Source organism: Homo sapiens, chromosome 5 (genome assembly GCF_000001405.40).
Source record: "Homo sapiens chromosome 5, GRCh38.p14 Primary Assembly".
NCBI classification, from domain to species: Eukaryota; Metazoa; Chordata; class Mammalia; order Primates; family Hominidae; genus Homo; species Homo sapiens.
The window spans coordinates 179498830-179520064 of NC_000005.10; the positions used below are offsets into that span (position 1 = coordinate 179498830).

General features: G+C 49.0%; 1 pseudogene, besides 4 other annotated features; it reads right to left on the reverse strand.

Moving 5' to 3' along the window:
- Nucleotides 1132-1632: an enhancer, noted in NCBI's record as "H3K4me1 hESC enhancer chr5:178926962-178927462 (GRCh37/hg19 assembly coordinates)". NCBI's record gives its function as "activates a minimal SCP1, AML or CMV promoter by ChIP-STARR-seq in naive H9 embryonic stem cells {active_cell/tissue: H9 hESC(naive)}" and the evidence as "EXISTENCE:reporter gene assay evidence [ECO:0000049][PMID:30033119]".
- LOC100128622 (uncharacterized) lies at nucleotides 7712-19791 on the reverse strand (annotated as a pseudogene).
- Nucleotides 10593-10642: a silencer, noted in NCBI's record as "silent region_16729". NCBI's record gives its function as "represses an Ori minimal core promoter by ATAC-STARR-seq in GM12878 lymphoblastoid cells {active_cell/tissue: GM12878}" and the evidence as "EXISTENCE:reporter gene assay evidence [ECO:0000049][PMID:35858748]".
- Nucleotides 15295-16142: an enhancer, noted in NCBI's record as "OCT4-NANOG-H3K27ac-H3K4me1 hESC enhancer chr5:178941125-178941972 (GRCh37/hg19 assembly coordinates)". NCBI's record gives its function as "activates a minimal SCP1, AML or CMV promoter by ChIP-STARR-seq in naive H9 embryonic stem cells {active_cell/tissue: H9 hESC(naive)}" and the evidence as "EXISTENCE:reporter gene assay evidence [ECO:0000049][PMID:30033119]".
- Nucleotides 19500-20275: an enhancer, noted in NCBI's record as "H3K4me1 hESC enhancer chr5:178945330-178946105 (GRCh37/hg19 assembly coordinates)". NCBI's record gives its function as "activates a minimal SCP1, AML or CMV promoter by ChIP-STARR-seq in primed H9 embryonic stem cells {active_cell/tissue: H9 hESC(primed)}" and the evidence as "EXISTENCE:reporter gene assay evidence [ECO:0000049][PMID:30033119]".

Consider the following 21235-nt stretch of genomic DNA (forward strand, 5'->3'; position numbering starts at 1 on the left):
TGTGGAAAAGCCTAACAGTGGCTTGAAAGCATGGCAGCAGGGCAGGCACAGTGGCTCACACCTGTAATCTCAACACTTTGGGAGGCTGAGGCAGGTGGATGACTTGAGGTCAGGAGTTCGACACCAGCCTGGCCAACAAGGTGAAATCCCGTCTCTACTCAAAATACAAAAATTAGCCAGATGTAGTGGCATGTGCCTGTAATCCCAGCTACTCAGGAGGCTGAGGCAGGAGAATTGCTTGAACCCAGGAGGCGGAGGTTGCAGCGAGCCGGGATCACTCCACTTTACTCCAGGCTGGGCAACAAAGTAAGACTCTGTCACACACACCACACAAAGAAAAACAGTGGCAGCTGGCGGCACCTGGGATGCATTTTCCCTCCTTTTTGCTTTGCTACAGGAAAGTGAAGGAGAAACAGACACTGAAAGGGACAGTGTGTTAAATTCTCAGCTCACAGCTGCATGGCTGTGTAGTTACAGAGACTAAAACTGGCATGGATGTGCCCAGTGCCTTGAGGCCACAGGGATGGACCGTGCCTGGAGCCCAGGGCCTGGAGTCTGGGAGGGAGGAGGAGGCGGATGCTGATACCAGAAAGACAGCGAGGCCGAGCGCAGTGACTCACGCCTGTAATCCCAGCACTTTGGGAGACCAAGGCGGGTGGACGAGGTCAGGAGATGGAGACCATCCTGGCTAACACAGTGAAACCCCGTCTCTACTAAAAATACAAAAAATTAGCCAGGCTTGGTGGTGGGCGCCTGTAGTCCTAGCTACTAGGGAGGCTGAGGCAGGAGAATGGCGTGATCCTGGGAGGCGGAGCTTGCAGAGAGCCAAGATGGTGCCACTGCACTCCAGCCTGGGCGACAGAGCGAGACTTCCTCTCAAAAAAAAAAAAAAAAAAGAAAGAAAGACAGCGAGGGGCAGGGAGGTGGTTGAGGAGCGCTAAGGAGTTCCTTTGCGGTCGGACGTGGTGACTCACGCCTGTAATCCCAGCACTTTGAGAGGCCGAGGCGGGCAGATCACAAAGTCAGGAGTTTGAGACCAGCCTGACCAAAATGGTGAAACCCCATCTCTACTAAAAATACAAAAATTAGCCAGGCGTGGTGGCACGTGCCTGTAGTCCCAGGTACTCGGGAGGCTGAGGCAGAAGAATCGCTTGAACCCAGGAGACAGAGGTTGCAGTGAGCCGAGATCGCACCATTGCACTAGAGCCTGGGCGACCGAGCGAGACTGTCTCAAACAAACAACAACAAAAAGAGTTTCTTTGCATTATTTCTTCAGATTGGATTCTCTATTTGCATTTTAAAAAGAGGAGGTAGAATACGGCAGAGCACATACAGGACACCGATATGGAAGGCATCAGTCCTCGTGTGGCTCCTGGATTAACCACGCTTTCTGGTTTCTGTGTTCTATGGCGCTTTGGCATCGCAGGAGGCTTTGCTGGCGGGGAAGGGACTGCCCCTCCCAGGGCTGGCTAGTTCTGGAGACAGCACATACCTCCCTATGCAAACCAGCAGTCAGAAGCCCCTGCCCCCACCACACCCTTTATCTAACTCACACACCCAGGAAATATTCTCCCTGCCCCATCTCACTCCAGAGCATGGTACTGGATGACTAGGGACCATGCCATAGCTCCGGGCCTGCCAACATTAGGCAAACGGGGCCACCCGAAGCTTGCTCAAGCTCACCTCCACCCTCATCTATTCCTTCCCACAGAGACCCCAGTGAAGGCCCAGCCTGGGCCCTCCCCTTGCTCCTTCTGCCTCGGGACTGACCTGGTGCTTCCCCATGCTGGAAAGTCATCAACTCTTCATTCAAAGGCAGTGTCTCCCAGGCTGTCATCTGACCAGAGCTGAGGAAAACAAAGTCCCAGGTGCATTTCAAGACAGCCCCTCCTCTGCCTTCCTGGTCTGTACGCTCCTCTGCCCTAGGAGGTAACCATTGTTCTCATTTCCACATAACAGTTTTGCCTACTCTTGTCCTTTATATAAAAGGAATCTTTCGGTACATCCCCTTTTGTGTCTGGCCTCTTTTACCCAGCGTGAGCGTCACCACGCTGCTGAGATTGTTCTCTGCTGTGTGTGTGTAGTTCTCCTTCAGATGCACAGGCCACAGTTCACTTACTCATTTACTGATGAGTGTTTGGGGTTTTGACTATTAGGAATAAAGTTATGATGAACATTCTTCAATGTGTTCGTTATCGGAGAGAAGTGAAACCGGCCCAATTGCCCCATAGAACTGATGTTTATGGTTTCTTTGAATAAACATAGAAATGATCCTTCCAGTCTCACAAGATAAGATCCTTCTTGTCTTATCTGAGTTCCTTTCCCAAGAAACCACCTATCAGGCCTCCCAGATAGAATAAAAAAAAAAACTCCCAAGACCCCCACACCCTCCAGCCTGGGAATTGCCTAACCCACCACCTGCTTCCTGGTGACCGACTCTTCCTCGCCCCTCCCTGATTCCTGTTTTCACACACATGGTTACATTTCTTCTCTGCTACATAAACCCCTGATTTTCGTGGGTCAGGGGATGGGCTGAGACTGATCTCCCATCTCCTGGGCTGCAGCACGGGATTAAAGCTTCTTCTCTGGCAATGCTCCTTGTCTCAGTGACTGGCTTTTTGTGTGGCGAGCAGCAGCACCTAGACAAACCCCTGGTGTTTCTGTAACATACACACTCATTTCTCTTCAATATAGAACAAGAGAGAAACATGTGGGTCAAAGGACCCGCATATGTTAGGGAAGAGGAGGGATTTCCAGACATTTCTGTGCAGTGGTGGTACCAATTAATATGCTCACCAACCGTGCACGGGGGTCCTAACTGCCCCACATCTACACCCACACGGGGTACAGCCAGCCTTTAATTTCAGCCATTCTGCTGGAGCACTGCAGTATCTCAGCGTGGTTTTCATTTGAGTTTCCCCGATGAAGAATGAGGTTGAGCCCCTTTTCATACATGTATCTGCCACTTGCTATCTTCTTTTGGGAAGGCTCCCATAAGTTATTTTTGAAATTGGGTTGTCAGTCAATTTCATATTGTGAGTCTGTCACTACTGTTTGTGCATGAAGAATTGAGTAGGTAACCTGCTTGTGGCCGGCCGAGGTGAGCTCTCCTTGGGTGGCTGTGCCTGTGGGAAAGACCCCGGGGGGGTGTTCTGGAGCCCAAGCACCACATCCCCCCAGACGGGGCCTGTCCCGATCTCACACTCAGCTCACCTCTCCCTCCCTGTGCCGATTTCTCACAGCGTTTTACAGTTCGTTGTCATTAGACTCTTTTGAAGTAAATTGCAAGGGTCTGATGAGTCATAACTGTGTGTGCCTCGTGTTCCTGCGTCTTGAGCCCAGCGGTAGGTCTCCCTCCATCCAGGCGGCACAGTTAGGGAGCACTCACAGGGACCAGCGCTGTCCTAGGTGCCAGGTGACCTCACGCAGGCAGCTGCATTCTAGTGGGGATGGCACTGGCAGGGACAGCAGATAGAAAATAAACAGGAACAGGAATCCAGTAATTTCTGGAAATTATACACAGAAGGAAATAAAGCAGGGTGAGGGTGTACAGTGTGTGTGTGTGTGTGTGTGTGTGTGTGTGTGTGTGGTTATCATGGGACAGGGAGTTAGGGAAGGGCTCTGTGAGAAGGTGGTTTTCAGTAGCTGCCTGAATGCAGTGGAGGGGGAAGTTCTTCTGGGGAAAGAACCATCCAGACAGAAGGAGACAGCATATGCCAAGGCCCCAAGGCAGAAGCCTGCTTCCTATGAGTGCAGCAAGAAACCCAGAGAGACAGAGAGGTGGAAGTGAGGGGAGAGCTGCAGGAGGCGAGGGGAGAGCTGCGGCCTGGTCGGTTACTTATGCACCTTAAGTCTCAGTTTCCTCCTCTATAAAATAGCGCGGGTCATCATGATTCCTACCTTGTGAGGTTGCCAAGTGGATTACGTGAAGCCGTGGTGTGTAGACCCCCCGGTACCTGCAAGTTCTCAGGAAAGGGAAGCTGTGATTATCAGGCCCTTCTTTCTCTCTGCTCCCAGGGCACCTTGTAACCCCACATCAGCTCATGTTGTAATGATGTATGTGTCTGGCTCTCCCTCGAGACCAGAGGCTGCACACTGGCACCCATAGCCTGAACCCAGCCTGGGGGTCTTCTGTTTAGCCTCACAGATTTGTTTTGTTAAGATAAATAGCTGCCGGCCAGGCGCGGTGGCTCACGCCTGTAATCCCAGTACTTTGGGAGGCCGAGATGGGCGGATCACGAGGTCAGGAGATCGAGACCATCCCGGCTAACACAGTGAAACCCCGTCTCTACTAAAAATACAAAAAAATTAGCAGGGCGTGGTGGCGGGCGCCTGTAGTCCCAGCTACCCGGGAGGCTGAGGCAGGAGAATGGTGTGAACCCGGGAGGCGGAGCTTGCAGTGAGCCGAGATTGTGCCACTGCACTCCAGCCTGGGCGACGGAGCGAGACTCCGACTCAAAGGAAAAAAAAAGACAATTAGTTGCCAACTTTCAACATTTCAGAAATTTTATATAAAAATCTGGGTTTCTGGCTTTCTTGGAAATTACAAGATCTGGCCGCTCTGGGTCCGAATGTCCACTTGGCCACGGCTGGCCGGAGGGAGCAGCGGCTGCGCACAAATTCACACCTGTGTCCTCCGCTCTGCCCGGGCCCCACCCAGCCGCTCCTCCCATCTCTCTGCCTCTTGGTCCCCGAAGGCACCTGTGGGTTTGAACATGCTGAAGACCCTGAAGTCCTTGAAGACAAACAAGTATTTTGTTCTGTTGTCTGTGTCCCTGGAAGATCCTTTCCTGGAGTTCACGGGGCCTGGGGCAAGGGTGCAATCAGAAGCCCGCGTCTCCAAAGTGAACATCAGTCGCTCCTCCCTTGTGGTCTGCAGGACCCGAGGGCTCCCACGACTTATTCAGAGGTCTGTGAAGTAAAAGTATTTTCATGTGACTGTTAAGACATTATTTGCCCTTTTCATCATGTTGACATTTAGTGTAAAAGGTACAAAATGACCGTGGGTAAAACTAATTCAGATCAAGGCAGTGGATCCCCGATGTGCCAGCTCTGTGTTCCTTACTGCTCTACACTCCCAATGTCAAGAAAAGTTGCTTTTGAGAGGCCGAGGCAGGTGGATCAGCTGAGGTCAGGAGTTCGAGACCATCCTGGCCAACATGGTGAAACCCCGTCTCTACTAAAAATACAACAATTAGCTGGGTGTGGTGGCGCTAACCTGTAGTCCCAGCTACTCGGGAGGCTGAGGCAGAAGAATCGCTTGAACCCAGGAGGCGGAGGTTGCAGTGAGCCGAGATCATACCACTGCACTCCAGCCTGGGCCACAGAATGAGACTCCATCTCAAAAAAAAAAAAAAAAAAGTACACACATAAATAAATACATAAAAATAAATGTGCTTTTTTGATGTTGTGCAAAGAAATGTGTCAACATTTGGAGGATCCACATAACTCAGTGAACCAATATTTTCCAGATGACCAACGCTTCATGCTTCCGTTAGGAAAAGATCATCCTCTGTGGATCTCTCACGCTCCCACAGGTCTTTCTGGGTGTGCCAAGAATGCAAAGCTTGGGCACTCTTTTCATCCAAACTGTTTCTAAGATTTATATTTGTAGTGAGCAGCCTTGAGGAATGAGCTACTGTCTCCCTCCGGGACAAACAGCAGGCTTGCTTACTGCATGCTACAAAAGCGATGGGCCTCCAAGCTCAGTGCTCCTCAGCTGCAACGCAAACCCACTGTGCGTGTAGCATCTATCTCAGCTCCTCTGCATCACCTCTGCAGGACTTGGGGGACAGAGGGAACAAGTGCAAAACGGGCTGCTGCCCGCTCTGCTTGCTGTGTGAGCATGCTGTGAATAATAAAGTCCTTTGTCTCTGACACAGGAATCTCAACTCTTTTGCCAGCATCCATGCAACAGTAACAAGTTAATGATTAGTTTGTAGTGGAGTAAGATGAAATCCCAGTCCTGACGGTTCCATGCCCGTGCAAACATGCATGGGCAAAAGATCCACTCAAAGTCCAAGAAAAATGAATGAATTTTGACGGAGCAGAGAGCAAAAGTTTATCACTCTGGATTCAAATTTCACTTTGCATCTAGCAGGGTGGGTATTAGGTTGAAGGGAACGAAGCGCTGGGTCAGCAGCTGCACACCCCTGAGAACCAGCGCCTCCCTGAGTTTGCACCCTGGGCCTCACTCTCCAAACCCTTCTCTGGCCCCAGCAGCTAATCCTTAGGAAACTGCTACTCGTTGAGTTCTGGAGTAGCATCAAATCAGAACACCCGCAGCTCTCTGAAAAAGATCTGAAACAGCTCTGAAACATGGCTCCCTTTTCTAGTTTCCTCTCTGCGGGAGTCTGGAATTTCTTCGTATGCTTCAGCCCGACAACACATCGCAACACGGACTGAAGGCCGAGCAGAGATGAGAACTCAGCTGTCTGCTCTTCATCCAGGCCGTGAAGAGATTTGCAAAGCTCTCCAACCACTCTTCTCACTACAGTTTTTTGGTTGTCTTGGAAAATAGAGTTAGTTTTCTTAAACACAAAACAAAAAGTGTGTTACTTGTATAACTGTATAATGGGCTTATTGTTATTTTTCTAAAACTTAATGAATAAATATTTTTAAAATGCCTCAGTTTAAAATTACAATATGGTAAACATTGATAGATGTAACCCACACGAACAAAAACTCTTTGGGGTTCTCAACAATCTTTTAGAATGCAAAGGGATCCTCAGCACAAAATGTTTGAGAACTGCTGGTCTAAATATTTATAAATCAACTTATAAATTAATGAACAAATTGGTAAATAAAATATGTTCTAGCTCCACCCTGGAGAAATCTGCTGTTAAAGTGACTTTATTCCCATTGAGAATTCTTGGCCGCCGCCGGGTTCTATGCTGGACTGCAGTGGGGAGGGCCCAGCACCCCGACCTCTGGTCAGCCCCGGCTCCAAGCAGCCCTGCCAACAGCTGTTTTATGCCCACCTCTCAGGCCTACTAGCTCTGTGGTCCACCCTCCAGGAGAGATCCATGCAAGAGGCCTGCGCTAGGCCCTGAAAGGGGCTTGGGGCTTTTGGGGCAGGGAACCGTGGGGCCTGGGGTACCCAGAGCATGTTCCAGGGGTTGTGGGAGAGGGCTCCAGGTGGGCACCTCCCCTTGGCCCTGAAGACACCGGATTCCATGAAAAGAGCCATGCTGGAGGAAAGCCTGAGAGGAAGGCGCAGGACTGCTCCCCTGGTGAGCCACCACCCTGTGTGAACAGACAGGAGAAAGACTCGCTGGCTGGACAGAGAATTTCAGGACAGCACTGCAGCCACTGCTCCCAATGCCTTCGTGGCCCTGGGCTGGCCGCTCCTCTTCCTGGTCTCCCCATGCTTCAGTGCAGGATGAGGGCTCAGCCTGGGGGTTCTCAGCATTGTCTTGAGGCTCATGTTCCTTCCAGGCGCATGGGGTTTCTGGGCTGCTTTGGAGACCCTGACACCCTTTACACTGTGTGGATTTCACTGGCTGGTTCGAGAAAAAGACAGTTTTTCTATTTCTTGGAAAATTGAACAGAAATATTTATGAAAATTTCTTTGTTAAATGATGTTGCTATTTATTCAGTATAGGCGGAAAGGCTACTGAATAGGAAAATATAGGGATTTCTCTCCTGTGTAAATCCCTCTCATACGCCTCAATTTAAGATATATACATATATATAGGCCGGGCGCAGTGGCTTACGCCTGTAATCCCAGCACTTTGGGAGGCCGAGGCAGGTGGATCGTGAGGTCAGGAGTTCAAGACCAGCCTGGCCAAGATGGTAGAACCACGTCTCTACTAAAAAAAAAAAAAAATTAGCCAGGCGTGGTGGCAGTCACCTGTAATCCCAGCTACTTGGGAGGCTGAGGCAGAGAATTGCTTGAACCTGAGAGGCGGAGGTTGCAGTGAGCCGAGATCTCACCATTGCACTCCAGCCTGGGTGACAGAGTGAGTCTCCATCTCAAAAAAAAAAGATATATACATATATACATAGACATATATATTATACATATATAAATATACGTGTTATATATACATATATATTAATCAGTAACATTTCACAGTAGATTTTAAACGGTACAAAAAACAGTACTTTTTTTTTTTTTTGAGACAGAGTCTCGCTCTGTCGCTCAGGCTGGAGTGTGGTGGCATGATCTCGGCTCACTGCAAGCTCCGCCTCCCAGATTCATGCCATTCTCCTGCCTTAGCCTCTCGAGTAGCTGGGACTACAGGTGCCCGCCACCACTCCTGGCTAATTTAATTTTTTTTTTTTTTTGTATTTTTAGTAGAAACGGGGTTTCACCATGTTAGCAAGGATGGTCTTGATCTCATGACCTCGTGATCCACCCACCTCGGCCTCCCAAAGTGCTGGGATTACAGACGTGAGCCACCGTGCCTAGCCATTTTTTTGTGTTTTTTTAGTGGAGACAGGGTTTCACTGTGTTAGCCAGGATAGTCTCGATCTCCTGACCTCGTGATCCGCCTGCCTCAGCCTCCCAAAGTGCTGGGATTACAGGCGTGAGCCACCACGCCCAGCCAAACAACAGTACTTTTTATAAAATAACCCCTAAGTGCAATTTTTTTGGGAGGGCGACCATCACTGTCACTGATTTTGCCAGGTTTTCCTAAGAATCTTACCTGGTCCATGTGGGATCTGAAGGCAATAATCCTGTCAGTGTTGTCTGGAAAAGTCTGTTACAGTTAAGAAATATTTTGCTAAGCCTGTTATGTAGAAATCACTGTAGGTGGCCCGGCACGGTGGCTCATGCCTGTAATCCCAGCACTTTGGGAGGCCGAGGTGGGTGGAGCACCTGAGGTCAGGAGTTCGAGACCAGCCTGGCCAACATGGTGAGACCCCCCATCCCTACTAAAAATACCAAAACTAGCCGGGCATGGTGGCAGGTGCCTGTAATCCCAGCTACTCAGGGGGCTGAGGCAGGAGTATCGCTTGAACCTAGGAGGCAGAGGTTGCAGTGAGCTGAGATCGCATCATCACACTCCAGCCTGGAGGACAAGAGCGAGACTTCGTCTCAAAAAAAAAAAAAAAAAGAAAAGAAAAGAAAAGAAATCACTAGGTAAAAACAAGGAAGTGAAATGCACAGTCCTACCTTAAAAAGCTTACTTTCTTCTGGCTGGGCACAGTGGCTCACCCCTGTAATCCCAGCACACGGGGAGGCCGAGGCGGGCAGATCCCCTGAGGTCAGGGATTCGAGACCAGCCTGGCCAACATGGCAAAACTCTGTCTCTAGTAAAAATACAAAAAATTAGCCAGGCGTGTTGGCAGGCACCTGCAGTCCCAGCTACTCAGGAGGCTGAGGCAGGAGAATGGGGTGAACCCGGGAGGCAGAGCTTGTAGTGAGCTGAGATCGCGCCACTGCACTCCAGCCCCGGCCACAGAGCGGACTCCTTCTCAAAAAAAAAAAAAAAAGAGTGCAGAAGCAGTTTGCTTGCAGTTTGCAGAAGCAGTTTGCAGAAGCAGTGTGCAGAAGCAGTGTGCAGAAGCAGTGTTCAGAAGCAGTTGTCCAGGGCTTGATTCCATGCTCCATATTCAAACTACTCAAGGATCAAAACATTAACTAGAGTTCAGCTATGTGAGTTCAAATGTTTCTAGCAGATGTTTCTGTGTTTATTTCTTAATGATAATGGAATTTTTATGTGGTGATATCTAGATGGAATTAAAAATAATAAGAAGCAATGAAGGGTAAATGCCTGTATAACTATGCATATATCTTTGCTGAACCCAACATATTTAAAAATATGATTGGATGAATTAATTGGATGAAATTTTGCTTTGGTGTGAGAGTTAAAACTTGTATCCTCTAGGCCGGGCGCGGTGGCTCATGCCTGTAATCCCAGCACTTTGGGAGGCCAAGGCGGGCAGATCACGAGGTCAGGAGATCGAGACCATCCTGGCCAACATGGTGAAGCCCCGTCTCTACTAAAAATACAAAAAAAAATTAGCCGGGCATGGTGGCGGGCACCTGTAGTTCCAGCTACTCAGGAGGCTGAGGCAGGAGAATGGCATGAACCCAGGAGGCGGAGCTTGCAGTGAGCAGCGATCACGCCACTGCACTCCAGCCTGGGCGATAGAGCGAGACTCTATCTCAAAAAAAAAAAAACAAAAACAAAAACAAAAAAACTTGTATCCTCTGAAAGAACCTCATGAAAATAGACTGTAAATCTACATTACTTGATAAGTAAGTAGAAAAGACTTCCTATGTCCTATGTCAATAGAAAATCATCTGCATTTATTTTGGTGTAGGTAAAGAACCATAACAAGACAAAATAAAGTTCTCATAAAGCTACAATGTTTTTGATAGGAGAAAGAAAGAAAGAAGCCAACGTAGACATAAAACTGCTGTACTCATTGGGAAAGATGAAGAAAAATACAGCAATCAGAACAGCAACTTTCACAAAGACAGTTTACAGCTCCATGTTAACATGAAGCATTCTTCAAAAACAAGTTGCTCCAGTTTCTTGTAGATTTTCCAGTGTCCTAATGCATGCTCTCTGGAGTTCTAAATTGCTTCTTAAACACTTCAAAACATACGTCTGGAAATCGCCGTTAGTGAAACAGAGGAAGTGCAACCGTTATGCAGTACCTAGAATCTACTTGATCACATGCACACACTCTAGACACATGTGTTTCAGAATATGATCATTGCATTTAGTTCTCAGAAGTCCACTGGTGTAATTTTCCCTATAACATTTGTTTCTGACATGTAAAAATTTAGATCCCAAGAGGCAGATTCCCAGAATAAATAAGGCTTAGCCAGTGATGTCCCCCACTGTGACAGTGTCAGCCCATTCTAACACAATGTTCGAATTACAAACACAAACACACGCAATGTGCAGAGCATCGCAGTGCTGGGTGCGCCAACATCCAAGACTCCAGGAATTACATAGTTTAGCAAACAACGTTTTTGCCTAAGACCCCGGGGTTCAAAATAATTTCTCCAGTCTGCTCTAGCCTATTTCATGTATGTATTCTGTTATAAATGAGAAACAAGACTTATTTTCTCCAGAATAATAGAACCATAGTGACACTGGAAGTAAGCCCAGATGATGATGATGATGATGATTACTATTATTAATTTCTTCTTCTTGTTGTTGTTGTTCTTCTTCTTCTTCTTTTTTCTTTTTCCTTTTCTTCTTTCTTTTTCTTCTTCTTTTCCTCCTCCTCCTTCTTCTCTTCCTCCTTCTTCTCTTCTTCTTTTTCTTCTTTTTTCTTCTTCCTCTTCCTCCTCCTCCTCCTTCTTCTTTCTTCCTCTTCCTCTTCTTCTCCCCTCTTCCTCTCCCTCTCCCTTTTTTTGAGATGAGGTCCCAATCTGTCACCCAGGCTGGACTGCAGTAGCAGATCAGCACTCACTGCAGCCTCGACCTCTTGGGCTCAACTGATCCTCCTGCCTCAGCCTCCTCAGTAGCTGAGACTATAGGCATGCACCACCATGCCCAGCTAATTTTTTTTTTGTATCTTTTGTAGAGATGGTGTTTCCCCATGTTGCCCAAGCTGGTCTTGAACTCCTGGGCTCAAGTGATCTGACCACCTTTGACTCCAAAAGTTCTAGAATTACAGGCATGAGCCACCGTGCCCAGCCTATCATTATTATTAATGATTATTTAAAAGACTAAGTTTTTGGTCGGGCGCGGTGGCTCACGCCTGTAATCCCAACACTTTGGGAGGCTGAGGCAGGCAGATAGATCATGAGGTCAGGAGATCGAGACCATCCTGGCTAACGCGGTGAAACCCCATCTCTACTAAAAGTACAAAAAATTAGCCAGGCTTGGTGGCAGGCGCCTGTGGTCCCAGCTACACAGGAGGCTGAGGCAGGAGAATGGCGTGAACCTGGGAGGTGGAGCTTGCAGTGAGCCAAGATCGCACCACTGCACTCCAGCCTGGGCGACAGAGTGAGACTCCGTCTCAAAAAAAAAAAAAAAAAAAAAAACTATGATTTTCCAGCATTCATATGAAATAATGTATTTTAACACACCGTTTTATATGTGTGTGTATGTGTGCATGCGCATATATGTATACACACACACACTAAGCAACAAGCTAGAATTCTTTTTTTTTTGAGACAGAGTCTCACTCTGTCACCCAGGCTGGAGTGCAGTTGCACGATCTCTGCTCACTGCAACCTCTGCCTCCCGGGTTCAAGCGATTCTCCTGCCTCAGCCTCCTGAGTAGCTGGGATTACAGGCACGTGTCCCCACACCTGGCTAATTTTTTTGTTTTTTTTCTGTTGAGATGGAGTCTCACTTTTGTTGCCCAGGCTGGAATGCAATGGCGCAATCTGAGCTCACTGCAACCTCCACCTTCCAGGTTCAAGTGATTTTCCTGCCTCAGCCTCCTGAGTAGCTTGGACTACAGGCTCCCACCACCACGCCCAGCTAATTTTTTTGTATTTTTAGTAGAGACAGGGTTTCACCGTGCTGGCCAGGCTGGTTTCAAACTCCTGACCTCAGGTGATCTGCCTGCCTCGGCCCCCCAAAGTGTTGGGATTACAGGCATAAGCCACCGCGCCTGGCCATTTTTTTTTGTATTTTTAGTAGAGATGGAGTTTCACCATGTAGGTCAGACTGGTCTCGAACTCCTGACCTCATGATCCGCCTGCCTCAGCCTCCCAAAGTGCTGAGATTACAGGCGTGAGCCACCGCACCCGGCTGAGTTGCTCCCACCTTTTATCTATTGTGAATAACACAGCTATCGACAGGGATGGGCAAGTGTCTCTTTATTTCCTTGCTTTCAATTTTTGGGGGATATATACCCAGAAGTGGAATTGCTGGAGCGTCCCTAGGTGTAATTTCCGAGGAACTGCCTTACTGTTTTCTAGAGGGGCGGCACTATTTTACATTCCCACCAGCAGTGCACAAGGGTTCCAGTCTCTCCACATCCTTACCAACATTCGTTATATTCTGGGTTTTCTTTGATACTAGTCAATGTAGTAGGAGTGAAAAGGAATCTCGTTGTCATTTCCATCTCCCTAATGATTAGTGATGCTGAGTATGGAGAAATGTCCATTCGAGTCCTTTGCTCTTTTTTTTTTTTTTTTTTTTTTTTGAGAGGGAGTCTCGCTCTGTCACCCAGGCTGGAGTGCAGTGGCGCGATCTTGGCTCACTGCAAGCTCCGCGTCCCGGGTTCACACCATTCTCCTGCCTCAGCCTCTTGAGTAGCTCGTACTACAGGCGCCCGCCACCACGCCTGGCTAATTTTTTGTATTTTTAGTAGAAAAGGGGTTTCACCGTGTTAGCCAGGATGGTTTCCATCTCTTGCCCTTGTGATCCGCCCGCCTTGGCCTCCCAAAGTGCTGGGATTACAGGTGTGAGCCACCGCGCCCAGCCTTTTTTTTTTTTTTTTTTTTTTTTTTTAAGACAGAGTCTCACTCTGTCACCCAGGCTGGAGTGCAGTGGCGTGATCTCGGCTCACTGAAACTTCCACCTCCTAGGTTTAAGCGAGTCTCCTGCTTCAGCCTCCCAAATAGCTGAGATTACAGGCATGTGCCACCACACCCGGCTAATTTTTGTAGTTTTAGTAGAGACGGGTTTCACCATGTTGGCCAGGCTGGTCTCGAACTCCTGACTTCAGGTGATCTGCCCGCCTCGGCCTCTCAAAGTGCGAGGATTACAGGCGTGAGCCACCGCGCCCAGCCTTGCTCATTTCTGAATTTGATTGTTAGGTTTTTGTTATTGAGTGTGTTTTTTTAATTGAGTGTAATATTCATACAGAGAAGCCACCAATCCCCAGAGGGCAGCTTGGTAAATTATCGTAGAGTGAATACGTCTGGGACACCAGCCCTCAGATCAAGAAATAGAATATTACCAGAGCCACCCTCCCCCAGAGCACTAAGATAATCGCTATCCTGACTTCTCACCAGATGTTTCTTTGGCCTGTTTTAGGGCTTCGCAGAAACAGAATCGTGCCGTACGCATTCATTTGTGTCTGGCTGCTTCTGCTCAACAGTATGTTGCTGAGATTCACCAACTGTGCATGGTGGCTGTGAATCCATTTTCAGTGCTGTAAGAATTTTACTCTATAAATATACTGAGAGGTACTTATCCACTCTCCTGTTGGAATTTGGGGCTATTGTGAAGGGTGCTGGTATAAACATCCTAGTGCACGTCGCACGTCATTTGGTGAACACGTGCACAGTGCACAGTTCTTTTGGGTCTATGCGTAAGAGTGGAATGTGGGGATCACATGTGTGGTCTCCTTTAGTAGGTATTACCCAAGGGTTTTCCAAAGTAGTTGTGCTATTTTACATTCCCAATAGTATATGAAGTTTCAGTTACTCCACATTCTTGCCCAAACTTGGTATCAACAGTGTTTTTAATTTTAGCAATTCTGGTAGGTGTAATATTGGTTTCTCACTGTGGTTTAAATTTGATGGCTTATGAGGCTGAGCATGTTTTAAATGCTTTTTGGCCATTTGGATGTTCATTTGCTCTTTCCTCTCCCTTCCCCCCTCCTCCCTCCCCCCTCCCTCCCTTTCTTCCTTCCCTTTTTTGTCCCTCTTCATTTCTTTCACCCATTGTCCTATTGGTCTGCCAGCTTTTTTCTTAATTTTTTAAAAAACTTTATTTAAGTACTGGGATACATGTACAGAACGTGCAGGTTTGTTACACAGGTAAACATGTGCCATGGTGGTTTGCTGCACTTATCCACCCGTCACCTAGGTATTAAGTCCCGCATGCATTTTTCTTATTAACTTACAGGAATTCTCTTTATACTCTACATGTGATTTATCTTTTCACCCTCCTCCATTCCCCACCTCTTTTTTTAAGAGACAGAGTCTCACTCTGTCACCCAGGCTGCAGTGCAGTGGCACAATCATGGCTCACTGCAGCCTCAGCCTCCCAGGCTCAAGTGTTCCTCCTGCCTCAGCCTCCCAAGTATCTGGGACCACAGGCATGCACCACCACGCCCAGCCAATTTTTCATTTTTCGTAGAGACGAGGTCTTGCTAAGCTGCTCAGGCTGTTCTCTAACTCCTGACCTCAAGTGATCCTCCCGCCTTGGCCTCCCAAAGTGCTGGGATACAGCGTGAGCCACCACACCCGGCCCCATCTTTTTACTCTCTTATTGATGAAAAAATTCTTAATTTTACTATCATCCAATGTATCTGTAGGGGTGGGTTGCCCCTACACACCTGTGGGTGTTTCACGTAAGGTGGGACGAGAGATTTGGAAAAGAAAAAGACACAGAGACAAAGTATAGAGAAAGAAATAAGGGGACCCGGGGAACCAGCGTTCAGCATATGGAGGATCCCGCCAGCCTCTGAGTTCCCTTAGCATTTATTCATCATTTGTGGGTGTTTCTCGAAGAGGGGGATGTGTCAGGGTCACAAGACAATTGTGGGGAGAGGGTCAGCAGACAAACACATGAACAAAGGTCTTTGCATCATAGACAATGTAAAGGATTAAGTGCTGTGCTTTTAGATATGCATACACATAAACATCTCAATGCTTTACAAAGCAGTATTGCTGCCCGCAGGTCCCACCTCCAGCCCTAAGGCGGTTTTTCCCTATCTCAGTAGATGGAGCATACAATCGGGTTTTATACCGAGACATTCCATTGCCCAGGGACAGGCAGGAGACAGATGCCTTCCTCTTGTCTCAACTGCAAGAGGCATGCCTTCCTCTTATACTAATCCTCCTCAGCACAGACCCTTTACGGGTGTCGGGCTGGGGGACGGTCAGGTCTTTCCCTTCCCACGAGGCCATATTTCAGACTATCACATGGGGAGAAACCTTGGACAATACCTGGCTTTCCTAGGCAGAGGTCCCTGCGGGCTTCCGCAGTGTTTGTGTCCCTGGGTACTTGAGATTAGGGAGTGGTGATGACTCTTAAGGAGCATGCTGCCTTCAAGCATCTGTTTAACAAAGCACATCTTGCACCGCCCTTAATCCATTTAACTCTGAGTTGACACAGCACACGTTTCAGAGAGCACGGGATTGGGGGTAAGGTTATAGATTAACAGCATCCCAAGGCAGAAGAATTTTTCTTAGTACAGAACAAAATGGAGTCTCCCATGTCTACTTCTTTCTACACAGACACAGTAACAATCTGATCTCTCTTGCTTTTCCCCACATTTATCAATCATTTTCTTTGGGGATAGTGTTTTGTCTTATTGAAGAAATTTTTACCTGCCTCCTAAGGAGCCTTAAAAATCTCCATATGCCCACAAAGCCCCACTGTTCTAACGTCTATTTTGTGCTAGAAAATAAACGAGGCACTGTCCCAGAGGCTATGCCTATCTTGTGGGAAAACTGTCTTCATCATCATTTGCTAAGCTGGGAGATGATCGGGATGAGGACAATCTCCATGGCTCCCGGCATCTGATCCCTTCCTGCATTAGAGAGAGTGGGCCTGATGCCATCGTGGGCCCAGCCCCACCTGCACCCCACGGGGAAAGGGCAAGAGGAATGGAGAAGGTGTGGTGTCCTTGGGCAGAGCCAGCCCAGAGATGTGGTTCTGCAAACAGAATGAGGGTACAGATGAGTCTGCCTGCATCGCCACGGGGCTCCGGGGGCTGCAGGAGGTGGGAGAGAAGCAGGTAGAGGAGGGATCCAGCAGGAAGAAGAGCAGAGCATTCTCCCTGGAAAGGGAGAAAGAAGGACGCACCTTTCATTTAACAGCTCAGTGTTCCAGTGACCGGAGGTGAGGTCGCAGCTGCTGGTCCCACAGAGCCTGTCTCTGGCGTTAGTTGTTTAGATGTCAGAATTGGTGAAAAGTTTGAGATTGTACCAGCTGGTCCGGGAAAGGTGATGGGGGAGCTATAAAGCTTGCGGCAGGGCAGTCAGGGATGACCGGTGCACAGGGGCTCCAGGGCACATGAGCCACACGGTGCTTAGGGCCAGGCCTCCCAGGAGTGACCCAGACCAGCCTTTTCTTTCTCATCCTCTCACTCTCTGAATTCAAAAGCTTGAACATGCCACGAAATGTCCACCCAATAAAAAGAAAGTATTTGCCTACTGGGCTCAGACATGGTATTAAGGAAATTGCAAATCTACTGACTGTGACAGAAAGCAAATCAGTGGCTGCTTGGGATGGGGGGGGGTGGGAGGGGCTGTAGGGAGGGATTCCAAAGAATCATGAGGAAGCTTTGGGAGTCGTGATGCTCCTGGTCATGGTTTTGCGGGTGCGTACGTGTGTTAACATTGATCAAAAAAATTTGTTTTTTTTGAGATGGAGTTTCGCTCTTGTTGCCCAGGCTGGAGTGCAGTGGCACGATCTCGGCTCACTGCAACCTCCACCTCCTGGGTTCAAGTGATTCTCCCGCCTCAGCCTCCAGAGTAGCTGGGATTACAGGTGCCCGCCACCATGCCTGGCTAATTTTTTGTAGTTTTAGTAGAGATGCGGTTTCACTGTGTTGGTCAGGCTGGTCTCGAACTCCTGACCTCAGGTGATTCACCCACCTCGGCCTCCCAAAGTGCTGGGATTACGGCGTGAGCCACCATGCCTGGCTTGTTCTCTTGTATGTCAGTTACCCCTCCATGAGGCTGCTAAACATCTTCCCAGCACACACACGCACAGACACACACCTGCATGCCCTCACGCAGTTTGCAAGGCAGTGGTTCAAGTTACACTTTAATCCCTCAAGCGTGCTCATCTCACTCTCTGAACCTGCCCTCTTGCAGGGTCCATGGTTCTTCCAAGTGTCCTGGTCACAAGGCAGCTGGATCGACACTCAGAGATATAGAGCAGAGCAGAGTGTGGTCCCTGAATCTATCTCGCCCCCACAATCTTTACACACAGAGACCTTCCCAGGAGCTGTGACTTGAACTTCACAATCTGCAGGGTCCACCCATGAGCCGTGTCCTCCTCACAGGCAATTGGATCCCCTCCTCTCTCCACCTGTGTGGGAAGATTGGAAACAAAAAATAGAGAACGTGGGAGGTAAAACACTAAGGGGATGGGCCACAGCTGAGCATCCCCAGGACAGAGGGAAACACTGAGGGGGTGGATGGGCCACACCTGAGCATCCTCAGGACGGAGGGAAACACTGAGGGGGTGGATGGGCCACACCTGAGCATCCTCAGGACCGAGGGAAACACTGAGGGGGTGGATGGGCCACACCTGAGCATCCTCAGGACCGAGGGAAACACTGAGGGGGTGGATGGGCCACACCTGAGCATCCTCAGGACAGAGGGAAACACTGAGGGGGTGGATGGGCCACACCTGAGCATCCTCAGGACAGAGGGAAACACTGAGGGGGTGGATGGGCCACACCTGAGCATCCTCAGGACAGAGGGAAACACTGAGGGGGTGGATGGGCCACACCTGAGCATCCTCAGGACCGAGGGAAACACTGAGGGGGTGGATGGGCCACACCTGAGCATCCTCAGGACCGAGGGAAACACTGAGGGGGTGGATGGGCCACACCTGAGCATCCTCAGGACAGAGGGAAACACTGAGGGGGTGGATGGGCCACACCTGAGCATCCTCAGGACCGAGGGAAACACTGAGGGGGTGGATGGGCCACACCTGAGTGACCTCAGGACCGAGGAAAACACTGAGGGGGTGGATGGGCCACACCTGAAGGCCCCCGGACAGAGTGAAGGACAGCTGTTGTTGGGATGATAATTCCACATCTTTGGAGAACAAGAATTCCAGGTGGTTTTCTTCTCTCCAAACAGCATGGTTATGAACTAGCTCTCACTCCAGGAGGCTTTAAGGCTCCATATAATATCTGTGGTAATAAAGAAAAACAGGCCAGGTGCCACGGCTCACACCTGTAGTACCAGCACTTCGGGAGGCCAAGGTGGAAGGACCACTGAGGCCAGGAGTCTGAGACCAGCCTGGGCAACGTAACAAGAGCCCATCTCTATAAATAATTTCAAAAACGTAAAAAGAAAAGAAAAACAAATAGTGGTAACTGTCACAACTAACATATAGTTACAAACAAAAATTTACACCAAGGTGAAAAAAATCAACTTTTTTTTTTTTTTTTTTTTTTTTACCAAAACGATGCCTCAGTCTAGGAAGAGGTGCTTCCTCTCTGGAAGCAGCTGAACACCTGAGCTGCTGTCCACAGGCGGACGGACTCTCCAGGAGCCCCCAGTGGGCCTCGGCTCCTCCACGTCAGCTCCTCTCTTGTCCCTCTGCTGGTCCACGGGGGCCGCTGCAGCTGGCCAGGTCTCCTGGGAGTCAGAGGGGGCCATGGGTTCCACCCCAGGGCCCACCTCATCAGCACAGTGCTCTCACCATCTGAGCACCAGCCCAGAGGAAAAGGAGAAAGAATGGGTGATGCTGATCCCCCAAGCAAAATGGAAACCCCTCCACCTCCCACCCTCAAAAGCACCCAACAACGGGCCCTGGGCACTGAGGGCCTCACGGGCAGCTGTTTGCATCACAGTGAAATCTACAAAGTTCCCATGGCACGTGAGTGGACGCTTCCTCCACACGGGAATGTCCGGCTGCCCCAAGGAAGGCTGCAATAATGTTGAGATCTTTGAATAGGAGCAAGGGATCAAGGCCGATGGCCTCTCTGAGGGCCTCAGTTTCCATCCATGTGGGCAAGCTCCCCTTTGGGAATCTGGGTTATGGTTCCCGAGATGGGGACAAGAGGCATCCGCTGACGGCTATATTTACAAAAATCCATCAAGTCGACACGCTTGTGAGAGTCAAAGCAGTACAGTAACTCACTGGAAAAGTGAAAAATTCTCACCTTCACACCCACAGAGATAACGGGGGCGGCGTGGGGGCAAGCCGAACGCATGCGTGTGCTCTGTGCACTCACCGCCGCCCTCTCCGCGGCTGTCTGGCTCCTGATTTGCATAGTGAGAGGCAGACACCAGGCTTGAATCAGGAGGGGCAGCGCCTTGTCCCAGTGAGTTTGGGTCTTGAGACAGTGAGTAGCAAGGGTGTAGAAAGGAAGGGATTTATCGACAAAGTTATCTGACTTTGATTCTTGAGCTCAATAGGGAGAGTTTGAATAAAAAGGAACACCGATACTAACACACGTTAAATAGACGAACTGCTTCTAATATTTGATAGGCAATAAATGTCGCATTTGTTTATACTTCCTAAGCAAAGTCAAGTCTCGTTCTCAGTTGCTCATTTTCAGAGAGTGAGAAAGTCCAAGATCTCATGGGCCCCTCCCCTTCCTCGGGTTATGGACACCAGGGCCCTGGGGACTGCAAGCTGGGGAGGTCTCCCGGGAGTCAGAGGGGGACATGGAGGAGAGCGGAGGAGAGAGTGCTGTTCTAGGGTGTCATTAGGTGGCTGTCAGATCCCTGCTCCTACATTCAGTAGGGAGTGACCTTCGGAAAATTATGTAGCCTCCCTAAGTCTCAGTTTTCTCACCTGAAAAATGGAGCTGATGGTAATAATCCTCATCCAGGAGAACAGCATGTGTTGACCATCCTCGTGGCATTCTTTTTAAGAGCTGCACGGCACTCCATTGTATGGGCATTAAATCATTTATTTATTGTGTGCAATCTCGGCTCACTGCAACCTCTGCCTCCCAGGTTCAAGCGATTCTCCAGCCTCAGCCCCCTGAGTAGCTGGGATGACAGGTGACCACCACCATGCCTGGCTAAATTTTGTATTTTTAGTAGAGATGGGGTTTCACCATGTTGGCCAGGCTGGTCTTGAACTCCTGACTTCTGGTGATCTGCCCACCTCAGTCTCCCAAAGTGCTTGGATTACAGGCCTGAGCCACCACTCCCGGCCCATAGACCTAAATATAAAACACATTTGTTGAACACCATGAAACCAGCAGCTTTGCTGTCACCACCAGAGGGACTCACATGATTTGGAGAATTTTCAAATAGGGATATTGATGCAAACAAACAGGAAGGACCAGTAGCTCTGCTCTTCTCCTCAGAGACCAGAACCTGCCCAAACCACCCAGCATCACTGACAGATGACGGTTCCTGAGCTCATGCGAAGAGAAGACACAGCGAGGGGAGATGCCTGTGGAAAGCAGATGGCCTGAGCTGTGTGTGCACGCCCTAGTCCACGGGTAGATCCATCAGCAACAGTGGAAGCCTCACCGACTCAAGGTGTTCGTGTACAAATTCAGACAACTGTTGGCAGAATACCAAGCACGCAGATAAAGGAGCGGTTCCTGGGAAGCCATGCATAAGAAACAAACAAAAAATGAGCAGAGACGGCTCCGGATACACGCTGCTCACAGAATTTACAAATTTAGTACAGGCTGGTTACAAACAAACGAACAAACAGTAACAACTCTCAGCGGAAAAGATTCAGAATCCAGA